Raw genomic sequence first — 12,250 nt, 5'->3', positions numbered from 1 at the left:
AAAAAAAAAAAAAAAGAGCAAACTTTTACTACTTTGTTTTACTAAGTACAAATAACATTATTTTTAATTTCCAAAGTAACCTCTAGATACAATTTTATACTTTTCTCACTGTTCTTTATTCCCCTTTTACCAAGTTTCCCTACACAAACAAAAACGGAAGCCCTCCGCAGTTATCTATCCTTTTTTCACAGAGTACCTTGGGCTGCTGATCTCTACATCTCTGTCTCAAATACAGATCTATTCACAGAATCGCTTGGGTTATGAAATCTCTCTAAGGCCAGGCAAGGTGGCTCACACCTGTAATCCCAGCACTTTGGGAGGCCGAGGCAGGTGGATCACCTGAGATAAGGAGTTTGAGACTAGCCTGGCCAACGTGGTGAAACCCTGTATCTACTAAAAATACAAAAATTAGGCCAGGCACAGTGGCTCACACCTGTAATCCCAGCACTTTGGGAGGCCGAGGCAGGCAGATTACGAGGTCAGGAGATTGAGACCATCCTGGCTAACATGGTGAAACCCCATCTCTATTAAAAATACAAAAAAACTAGCCGGGTGTGGTGGCATGCGCCTGTAGTCCCAGCTACTTGGGAGGCTGAGGCAGGAGAATTGCTTGAACCCAGGAGGCGGAGGTTGCAGTGAGCCGAGAGCGCACCATTGCACTCCAGCCTAGGTAACAAAGTGAGATGCCATCTCAAAAAAAAAATACAAAAATTAGCCGGGTGTGGTGGCAGATCCCTATAATCCCAGCTACTCAAGAGACTGAGGTAGGAGAATTGCTTGAACAGGGGAGGCAGAAGTTGCAGTGAGCTGAAATCGCGCCACTGCACTCCAGCCTGGGCGACAGAGTGAGACTCCGTCTCAAAAAAAAAAAACAAAAACAAAAACAAAAAAAACAACTCTATAGTCAATTTTGCTTCCTAACTTTGCCCATAGCAAAGAAAATTAAGTATGTCAAAGGGCATTTAAATATCCCTCCTCTTTCTCCCAGGAACTCAAAGAGAATTAGGGAAGAGACACAGAAAAAGCTGAAGGAAAATTAACCAGGAGATGTAGATGAGCCCTGAACATCTCCTGGTAACTAAAGAAATGAAATGAAGGACTCTCTCACATAATCCTGGACAAACTTAATTGCAATAAATTAATTTTATCAAGGTTGGAATACACAGATTTATGCATAAGGTTGGCCAAATAAACCCTATTCAGATAATTTGAAAGTCTAAACAAATTTACCAACCTAGTTGAATACAATCCAGTTTTTCATACCCGCAATTTTGTAGTCAATTCAGATAGTGCCTTCCTGCCTACTCAATTCAACAGGTATTTAGTGGGTGATTCCTATGCACTAGGATTGTTTCAGTCCCTGTCTAACCAAACTCTGGTTATCAAGAATTAGACAAGGGTGGCTTTGTGAAGCACAGAAACACAAACTGGCTCTTGAACTCCCTCACCTCTAAATTGTCCAGACACCTAGAATACAAAACAGTAGAGCACCCAGATGGTGTCCTATCTTGCTCTGATTCTCACTTGCCAATTTCAAACCATGTTTTTGTCCCCAAACATACCAAAAAACGTTTGAGTACATCATATATCTGTACACCCATAATATCTCATGCCAATCTGAGCACAGTACCCTCAAAGGTCAACTAAATGGCTGAGTTAGCTGACAGCCACATAATTTTGATCCAAGAATGCCAGCTTAATACTGAACTGACTCACCCAAACCAACCAGGGGGACTCAAGTCTGACGTGGGGGTGATGTAATACACTAAGGCCACAATACAAGAATATCCTTACTACAGCAGCAAGTAGTCCTATTTTTGACAACATTTGATGAGTGAGAGAAATTCAAAGAGAGGCCACAGGATGTCAAGAAAAGGTAAGGGTGAAGCAGGAAGTAAACCAAGAGCTGGTCTTAAAGCAAAATCCAGGAGTCAAAAATCCTCTTCTATCCTAAGTAGGCCTGATTTGGGGGGAGTCCATGTTACTGAACTACTAGAAAATTATATGTGGAAAACCAGACGTTATATGTCAAGAAAATAGGGGGTAAACCAATTCTACATTATAACCTGGTTTGGTTTTCCTTCCCCCCTCCAATCTATAAATGTTGAGAAAGGAAATGAGAAAGGGAATAATATCTGGTGATTCCATACAAAAAGAGAGCTGGACAAATATGGATAACATATAATGAATTTTAAATCCCAAATAGAAGACAACTCCAAGTGGACTTAAACTCTCCCTCAATTATGTTCTCACACCATCTAATTATCTTCCTGTTTTAGACAACAGTTTTGAAATGTACTTATTTGTGACTACCTCTGTTTTCCTCCATCAAACGCCACACTTCCTGAGGGCATGGCTACTGTATCACCCATTTCTCGAAATTTATCTAGATTCTGGGCCTCAGTTTCCTCCTCCTTCCTCCTTCCTCAGTTTCTGTCAAGAGGGACCAAGAATAGCACCAACTACATTGGCTTGGCGAGGAAATTAAATGAGAACGGGCATGCAGGGTGCTTAGTTCAGTCAATGTTTATAACCTGTTAGCATGGTAATAACAATAATTATCGTTACCGTTATTAGCCGACAGCCTCCCGCAACTCTTTTTTTCCTCCGTTTCCCGGACGGACTTCACAGCAAAATCCTGTCGCCAAGAGAAGCGTGGCCCGAAGCCCCTGCTCGCACCCTGCCCCGCCTAGGCGGCGACCGAGCACCGCAACCGCCTCAGAAGCCAGGCCTAGCGGCGCGAACGGCGCTAGGGGCTGGAAGGTGAACTTCAGCCGTTCCAAACTCCGGGAGGAGGGAGACCCGCGCCCTAGCTGCTCCCTCTTTTCTTCCCACGGCTCACCTAGCCTCGCCTCAGATCTGACAACGAAGCGCGAGCCAACCCGCCGCGGGACTCATTCAGTATCGTTGAAATTTTGAACCCAGGCAGCCTAGTCGAATGCACCAATCAGAGCGCCGGGAAAGCAATTCCAGGCTCCCGATTGGCCCTACAGACCGCAGCAATACCGGAAGTCAGAAGGAGGTACCAGCGAACAACGCGGCCCGGAGTTCCTGGGAAGTGTAGTCTCCTGCGCCTGCGTGAGTCCACTGGAACAGCTCTTAGGAGTACGTTATTACAAAGACCGGAGTGCTCTGCTCCAAACTATTTGGGAAAGGTGGTACCAACTGAAGAGGTGGAGAGTCAACCTAGATCACAGAATGGCGCGCATCCTGGACCTCTCCAAGTTTTCAGGGAAGAAAACTCTATTTTTAAAAATTATTCTCGTTATGGTTGTGCATTATCCCTTGAAGGTTCAGGGAGTTCACTTCGTCTTAACATGGAGTCGCCTGCATGCAACATAGACTCGCCCGTAGCGTCCTTCCCAATAGTGCAGGAGTCTTTGAAACCTTTTACCCAGTCCCTGCCCTGATCTTATGAAACCCGCGGTTCGTTGGGAGCTTTATCCGGTTTTATTCCCAACTGCATCCCGGCTTTATGATCCCCATGTCGTAAAAAGAAAACAAAGTCTAGGAGAAGTTGAACAAACATGTCCAAAATCACATAATAAATGGAGAAGATGGGATTCGAATTAAGAAGGTCTGTTCTTTTTATACACCACCGATAATTAATTAGAGGCCGGGCTTCGTGGCGCTCACCTATAATCCCAGCTCCACAGGAGGCTAAAGCAGAAGGATCCCTTGAGACCAAGAGTTCCAGAACAGCGTAGACATCATAACGAGACCACCCCCACCATCTTAATTTTTTTTAATCAATTAGAAAATAGCAGCAACAAGAACAACAAAACAACCCCCTTCATAATACCAGCAAAAGCTAAAGATTCAAAAATTAAGCCTAGGCTGGGTGCGGTAGCTCACGCATGTAATCCCAGCACTTTGGGAGGCCGAGACAGGCAGATCACTTGAGGCGATGAGTTCGAGACCAGCCTGGCCAAAATGTTGAAACCCCCCCCCATCTCTACTAAAAATACAAAAATTAGCCGGGCGTGCTCGCGCGTGCCTGTAATCACAGCTACTTGGGAGGTTGAGGCAGGAGAATCACTTGAACCCAGGAGGCGGAGGTTGCAGTGAGCCAAGATTGCACCACTGCACTCCAGCCTGGGCAACAGAGCGAGACTCTGTCTCAAAACAAAAAAAAAAAGGTCAAGGCAATTCCAATGAAAGTCCCAGTGGGTTCTGTTCTGGAATTTGCCAAGTTAATTCTAAAGTTCCTATGGAAGAGTACAAGTACTGGCATCTTGAATTTTGAAAAAGATTGGGGGATTTATGTACAGATTTTGTACATATTAACATGAAATTATAGTAATTTTTAAAGTATGGTTCAGTTAATTCACACCCATGGGGGTGCAATCGGCAAAATCCAGACAGGAAAACCACAGGACAATTTAGTTCCTTCAAAACATAAACTGCCAGAGTTTGGTTTTGTTTTCTTTTTGTTGTTGTTGTTTTGTTTCATTTTGTTTTTTGAGACGGAGTTTCGTTCTTGTAGCCCAGGCTGGAGTGCAACGGTGTGATCTCAGCTCACTGCAACCTCCGCCTCCCGGTTTCTCCTGCCTCAGCCTCCCAAGTACCCGGGATTAAAAATGCGCCACCACACCCGGCTAATTTTTATATTTTTTGATAGAGACGGGGTTTCACCATGTTGACCAGGCTAGTCTCGAACACCTGACCTCGGGTGATGCCCCCGCCTCACCCTCCCAAGTGCTGGGACTACAGGTGTGAGCCACCACACCTTTTGTTTTCTTTTTTAAGAGTCCTTGTGTTGTAGAGATACATATAGATACGGTAGGGATGAAATTACTCTGGCACTGGCTTCCAAATAATTGGGAGTAGGCAGTGAAGATAAGTAGGTGGGGATTTAGATGAAACAAGATTAGCTACAAATTGATAATTGTTGAACCTGGTGATGGGTTCATGATACATAAATACATACATATACTCTTGTATGAGTTTGAAATTTTCCACAATTAAAATGGGGTGGTTGCCTGGTGCTACTTGGAAGGCTGAGGCAGGAGAATCACTTAAACCCAGGAGGCAGAGGTTGCAGTGAGCCAAGATGGTGCCATTGCACTCCAGCCTGGGCGACAGAGCAAGACTCTACCTCAAAAACAAAGGGATGGGGGAGTGGTAGTTGTTGTGGTGGTTGTTTTGTTATTTTGAGATAGGGTCTTGCTGTCACCCAGGCTGGAGTGCAGTGGCAGGATCACGGCTCACTCCAACCCCAACCTCCCAGACTCAAGTGATCTTCCCACCTCAGCCTCCCACAGTGCTGGGATTACAGGCATGAGCCATGGCACCTTGTCTAAAAAGAGGTATTTTTGGCCTGGCGCGGTGGCTCACGCCTGTAATCCCAGCACTTTGGGAGACCGAGGCGGGTGGATCACGAGGTCAGGAGACTGAGACCATCCTGGCTAACACGGTGAAACCCTGTCTCTACTAAAAATACAAAAAAAATTAGCCGGGCATGGTGGCGGGTGCCTGTAGTCCCAGCTACTTGGGAGGCTGAGGCAGAAGAATGGCATGAACCCGGGAGGCGGAGCTTGCAGTGAGCCAAGATCGCGCCACTGCACTCCAGCCTGGGTGACTGAGCAAGACTCCGTCTCAAAAAAAAAAAAAGTATTTTTGCTGGGCACAGTGACTCATGCCTGTAATCCCAGCACTTTGGGAGGCCAAGGCGGCCAGATCACCTCAGGTCGGGAGTTCCAGACCAGCCTGACCAACATGGAGAAACCCCGTCTCTACTAAAAATAGAAAATTAACCGGGCATGGTGGCAGGCGCCTGTAATCCCAGCTACTCGGGAGTCTGAGGCAGGAGAATCGCTTGAACCCGGGAGGTGGAGGTTGTGGTGAGCCAGGATCGCGCCATTGCACTCCAGCCTGGGCAACAAGAGTGAAACTCCATCTCAAAAATAAATAAATAAATAAAGGTATTTTTAAGTATGGTATTGTCGTAGAAGTTAAAAGTGGGGGAAATCAGTAGAAGAGTTTAAGAGTCCAGAAACACACTCAGCCAGTTATGGTGGCTCATGCCTGTAATCTTAGCACTTTGGAAAGCAGAGGCGGGAAGATTGCTTGAGCCAGGAGTTTGAAATCAGCCTGGACAACATGGCAAGATACAAAAAACTTTTAAAATTAGCCAGGTGAGGTGGTGCGTACCTGTAGTCCCAGCTACTCAAGAAGCTGAGGTATGAGGATCACTTGAGCTTGGGAGGTCAAGGCTGCAGCGAGCCATGATTCTCCAGCCTGGGCGACAGAGCTGGGTCCTGTCTTTAAAAACAAAAACAAAATCCAGAACTCATGTATATCAGAATTTAGTAGGCCAGGCGCAGTGGCTCACGCCTGTAATCCCAGCACTTCAGGAGGCCGGGGGTGGGGGGCGGGGGCAGATCACTTGAGGTCAGGAGTTCGAGACCAGCCTGGGCAACATGGCAAAACCCCTTCTCTACAAAAAATACAAAACTTAATAGGCCTGGCACAGTGGCTCATGCCTGTAATCCCAGCACTTTGGGAGGCTGAGGAGGGGGGGTCACGAGGTCAGGAGTTTGAGACCAGCCTGGCCAACATAATGAAACCCCGTCTCTACAAAAAATACAAAAATTAGCCAGGTATGGTGGTACGCACCTGTAGTCCCAGCTACTCAGGAGGCTGAGGCAGGAGAATCGCTTGAACCCAGGAGGCAGAGGTTGCAGTGAGCCAAGACCATGCCATTGCACTCCATCCTGGGTGACAGAGTGAGACTCTGTCTCAAAAAAAACAAACAAACAAAAACAAAAATTAGCTGGGCATGGTGGTACTCACCTGTAGTCCCAGCTACTCCAGAGGCTGAGGTGGGAAGATCGTCTGAACCTGGAAGGTGGAGGTTGCAGTGAGCTGAAATCAGGCCACTACACTCCAGCCTGGGAGACAGAGCAAGATCCTGTCCCCCAACCCTCCACTAAAAAAAAGAAGAAACAAAACTGGCCATCAAACACATGAAGGTGCTCAGCCTCACTATAATAAAGGAAATTGAAACAAGAAAGTTCCATTTTTCACCCATCAGATTAACCAAAATTAAAAGTTTGATAGTATCAGAAATTTGTAAGGTAACTCAGCAGGTAGGAGTATAGATGGGTGTGGACAACTATTGACAACTATTTTTTTTTTTTTTGAGACAGAGTCTCTGTCTGTCGCTCAGGCTGGCATGTAGTGGCACAATCTCAGCTCACTACAACTTCTGACTCCTGGGTTCAAACAATTCTTGTGCCTCAGCCTCCCTGAGTAGCTGGGATTACAAGCACCTCACAGCATGCCCGGCTAATTTTTTAATTTTTTTTTTTTTTGAGACAAAATTTCGCTCTTTCACCCAGGCTGGAGTGCAATGGCGTGATCTCGGCTCACTGAACCTCCCCCTTCCGGGAAGTGATTCTCCTGCATCAGCCTCCTGAGTAGCTGGGATTACAGGCACCCACTATGACGCCCAGCTAATTTTTTAGTTTTTAGTAGAGACGGGGTTTCACCATGTTGGCCAGGCTGGTTTGGAACTCCTGACCACAGGTGATCTGCCCGCCTCAGCCTCCCAAAATGCAGAGATTACAGGTGTGAGCCACTGCGCTCAGCCTATTGACAACTATTAAAATGTCAAATAAGTATGCCCTATGATGTAGGACTTCCATTTCTAGGTTTCATTCCAAGAGATAACACTCATCCAGTCACACAAATGCCCAGTTGCTGCAGCATTTATTGAGCACCTGCTATGTGCCAAGTCACCATACTAAGTGTGGGGATACCACAGTAAAAAGACAGACAAAATTCCTGTCCTCGTGGAACTGTTATTCTAGGGGAGAAGACAGATGCCAGATGAGATAAATAAGTAAATGATCTAGTGTATTAGCAGGTGATAAATGCAAAACCATTTGCTCGCGAGGCCCTGAAGTGTGGATGGCAATACAAGGAGAAAGGCAGGAGCTGGATAGATGGTGGGGCAAAGGGAGGGCAGGGGTCTGCCTGGGCTGTGACTGTCCCACTTTCAGCACCCACATCACCCAACAACCAGGCATGTGCCTGCCAACAATGGAGTAGACAGGCTTGGGTCAAGGTGGGGGTAAAGGTAGTTTGCCTTATATTAGGAAGGAAGAAGCATCAGAACTATTGTTGTCTGGGGACTACTAGGCAGAAGGTAACTGACTGAATGAATAAATGAATGAATGAGGCAATGCCAGGAGGCCAGGATGTATGCAAGAGCTTCCCAATTCCTTCCAAATGAACAGGAGGTAAGCCTGGTCCAAGAGTTTCCTCTCCTATCATTTTACCTGCTTATGTTAGGCTGAGCTTCAAGTTCTCGTTCTCTGTGAATGGGAGACTATGTGGTCTGAATCACTGAAGCAGAATTTCAGGGCTGGAAAGAAGGATAGACACATCTGGTCCACTCTGTTCACAATTTCAGTTATCATCGAGGGAAGGGAACAAGAGTGGAAATAAGGAAATCAATTAGTAGTTCATTGCAATGTAGTTGTAAGAAATTGGAAACCACCTAAATTTTCACAAATCGAGGAATATTTCAATCAACTGCCTACAGAATGGAACACTAAGCAGCAGTTTAAAAAAGTTCCATGGATCTGGACTGACAGGAGAGGATCTTTGAGATATATTTTTGAGTTAAAAAAAATGAATTGCATGGCTGGGCGCGGTGGCTCATGCATGTAATCCCAGCACCTTGGGAGGCTGAGGCAGGTGGATCACCTGAGGTCAAGAGTTTGGGACCAGCCTGGCCAACATGGTGAAACCCGGTGTCTACTAAAAATACAAAATTAGCCAGGCGTGGTGGTGGGCGCCTGTAATCCCACCACTCAGGAGGCTGAGGCAGGAGAATCACTTCAACCCGGGAGGCGGAGGTTGCAGTGAGCTGAGATCGCGCCACTGCACTCCAGCCTGGGCAACAAGAGTGAAACTCCGTCTCAAAAAAATGAATTGCTGATTGACATAAATTCATTATGACATCATTATGTTTTTAAAATACTCAAAATAATGTTCCACTTTTCCCATGGGTGTGTATAAGTAACCATTAGTACTTACCACATGCTAACCACTATTAGAAGTATTTTACACATATTAACTCATATATCCTAACAATAACCCTATGAGATAGTTAATGTTACCACACCCATTTTATAGATTGTAGAAATTGAGGCTTAAAAAGATTAGACAATTTATCTGAGATCATACAGCTTTTGTGGTGACAAAATCAAGATTTGAGCCCAGGAAGGCCTACTCCAGAGACCAATCCCCTAACCATTGCCTTGGACTGCCTCTCCTATGTGGATATATATATAGAGAGAAAGTTATGGAAAAATTCATAACAAACTAACAAGAATGGGAAATTCAGAGGGGAGAAGTTAAACTGGATTTATACAGAGAAAGGATAGATAATTTGAGTCTTTAATTAAAAAAAAAAAGAATGTTAGCTGGGTGCGGTGGCTCACGCTTGTAATCCCAGCACTTTAGGAGGCTGAGGTGGGTGGATCACCTGAGGTCAGGAGTTCGAGACCAGCCTGGCCAACATGACGAAACCCCATCTCTACTAAAAATAAAAAACTTAGCCAGGTGGTGGTGGGCGCCTGTAGTTCCAGCTACTCGGGAGGCTGAGGCAGGAGAATTGCTCGAATCCGGGAGGCAGAGGTTGAGGTGAGCTGAGATTGCGCCATTGTACTCCAGCCTGGGCAACAAGAGTGAAACTCCATCTCAAAAAATAATGATAAAAATAAATAAATTCAAATCACCCAAATAATACACAGCAACACTCTTTTTTATTTATGTAATTATTTTATTTTATTTATTTTTGAGATGGAGTCTCACTCTGTCGCCCAGGCTGGTGTGCAGTGGTGCCATCTCGGCTACTGCAACCTCCGCCTCCCGAGTTAAAGCGATTCTCCTGCCTCAGCCTCCCGAGTAGCTGGGATTACAGGCATGCACCACCACGCCCGGCTAATTTTCTATTTTTAGTAGAGACGGGGTTTCTCCATGTTGGTCAGGCTGGTCTCGAACTCCCAACCTCAGGTGATCCGCCTGCCTCGGCCTCCCAAAATGCTGGGATTACAGGCATGAGCCACCACACCCAGACTTTTTTTTTTTTTTTGTAATAGTAAAACTGCAAAGGAGAGAGAAGGAGGAGCCAGTGAGGTAGAAAGTTATTTAAGCTCTCAAACTCTGTTTTGAAAAAGTGAGAGATTAACTGGGTGTGGTGGCACATGCCTATAGTCCTACCTACTCTGGATGCTGAGATGAGAGGGTTGCTTGAGCCCAGGAGGTTGAGGCTGCAGTGTGCTGTGATGATGCCACCTCACTCCAGCTTGGGTGAGAGAATGAGACCCTGTCTCGAAAAATAATAAATAATGAGCGAGAAAGAAAGAACCAGCCTCTACTGCTGCCCCTAACAAATCTGATCCTCCACTCTGTGTCTCTTAGTCCCTCCACCATCTAACTAGTGGTCACTAGGCCAGAAATCTGGACCTGCCTTCCAGCTTCATGGAGGCTTCCTACTCCATTGGCTCCGGGTGATGACTTAACTTCCAGACACCTCCAAACGAGGTGACTTCGATCACCCAAAGACACTCCTCTGGAGAAGGTTGCAGGTATAAATAATTGATGACAGCTGTCAAAAGGATCCCCAGGATCGCTTGGACCCGGGAGGTCAAGGCTGCAGTGAGCTATGATTACACTGCTGCACTCTAGCCTGGGCAACAGAGTCATACCCTGTCTCGGAAAACAAACAAAAAAAAGGTTCCCCAGAAAAGTCAGCACTGTGGCACTGTTTTTTTTTTGTTTTTTTTTTTTATTCTTCCAGTCTTCCATCCAACCAAGTGTTGGGGCTCAGAAAATGATGCTCCAAAATATGGTGCTTTGGCATGCTGGGTGCTTTGAACAAAGGAGATTGAAAGGCCTCAGAAATAAGCCTCAGAAACAAGGTCTCCCTCTGACCTTCTGCTCCCTGTCCCCATCATTCCCTTCCAAAGAGCAGGAGGGAGCAGTTGCGGAAGTTCTTTCCCTTATATGACTGAGGGAAGTTCTTCCAATTGTATTAAATGCAATTGTCTTAAACTCTCTTCCTAGAAATCTCATCAAACAACCAGGGAAGATTAGTCACCAGAGAGGAGATTAAAAGTAACCACCACATCCAGACAGGCTATTGCCTATTCTTCCAGAGACTGTTCCAAAACAACTTTTTTTTTTTTTTTGAGACGGAGTCTCGCTCTGTCGCCCAGGCTGGAGTGCAGTGGTGCAATCTTGGCTCACTGCAAGCTCCGCCTGCCGGGTTCATGCCATTCTCCTGCCTCAGCCTCCTGAGTAGCTGGGACTACAGTCACCCGCCACCACGCCCAGCTAATTTTTTGTATTTTTAGTAGGGACGGGGTTTCACTGTGTTAGCCAGGATGGTCTCGATCTCCTGACCTCGTGATCCACCTGCCTCAGCCTCTCAAAGTGCTGAGATTACAGGCATAAGTCACCGCGCCCGCCCCTTTTTTTTTTTCTTAAAGGCAGAGTCTCGCTCTGTCCACCAAGCTGGAGTACAGTGGCGCAATCTTGGCTCACTGCAATCTCCGCCTCCCAGGTTCAAGCGATTCTCCTGCCTCAGCCTCCTGAGTAGCTGGGATTATAAGCATGCACCACCACACTGGCTAATTTTTGTATTTTTAGTAGAGACAGGGTTTCACCATGTTGGCCAGGCTGGTCTTGAACTCCTGACCTCAGGTGATCTGCCCGCCTCGGCCTCCCAAAGTGCTGAGATTACAGGCGTGAGCCACCGCGCCCAGCCGCAGGGGGTTATTTTCAGTAAGCACATGTAAGATTGGTGGTAGCAGTTTGAGACCAGCCTACGCAACATAGTGAGTCCCCGTCTCTATAAAAATTAAAAAAAAAAAAATTGCTGGGTGTGGTGGTGCACACCTGCAGTCCCAGCAACTCAGGAGGCTGAAGTGGGAGGATCATTTGAGCCTGGGAGTTTGAGGCTGCAGTGAACTATGATTGTGCCACCATACTCCAGCCTGGGCAACAGAGGGAGACCCTATCTCAATTTAAAAAAAAAAAAAAAGAATGATTCGAAGACTTTTTAATGCAAATACAGATACCTCATATATCTATATCTATCCACACACGCATTTTTATATATTCATATAATGTCTGTGTGTGTTCATATGTTTTTCAAATTTCTCATTTAAAAAGTAAAGTTTTTTTTTTTTTTTTTGAGACAAAGTCTCTTCTGTCACCCAGGCTAGAGTGT

The 12,250-nt window shown here is 45.9% G+C and overlaps 1 protein-coding gene across 6 annotated transcripts in view, besides 2 other annotated features; it reads right to left on the bottom strand.

Moving 5' to 3' along the window:
* TPX2 (TPX2 microtubule nucleation factor) overlaps positions 1–2,900 on the bottom strand; it is a 62,511-nt gene extending 59,611 nt beyond the window's left edge. For 4 of the 6 annotated variants that reach the window (NM_012112.5, XM_011528700.4, XM_011528699.3 and 1 more), the window contains exon 1: positions 2,569–2,900. The gene's annotated coding sequence lies outside the window, so the exon portion shown is untranslated. The remainder of the gene's footprint in view (positions 1–2,568) is intronic. The other 2 variants (XM_011528697.3, XM_047440017.1) reach the window with 1 other exon arrangement.
* Positions 2,588–2,747: an enhancer, noted in NCBI's record as "active region_17699". NCBI's record gives its function as "activates an Ori minimal core promoter by ATAC-STARR-seq in GM12878 lymphoblastoid cells {active_cell/tissue: GM12878}" and the evidence as "EXISTENCE:reporter gene assay evidence [ECO:0000049][PMID:35858748]".
* Positions 2,838–2,887: an enhancer, noted in NCBI's record as "active region_17698". NCBI's record gives its function as "activates an Ori minimal core promoter by ATAC-STARR-seq in GM12878 lymphoblastoid cells {active_cell/tissue: GM12878}" and the evidence as "EXISTENCE:reporter gene assay evidence [ECO:0000049][PMID:35858748]".

Source organism: Homo sapiens, chromosome 20, assembly GCF_000001405.40.
Source record: "Homo sapiens chromosome 20, GRCh38.p14 Primary Assembly".
NCBI classification, from domain to species: Eukaryota; Metazoa; Chordata; class Mammalia; order Primates; family Hominidae; genus Homo; species Homo sapiens.
This window is presented reverse-complemented; position numbering and strand designations above follow the sequence as displayed.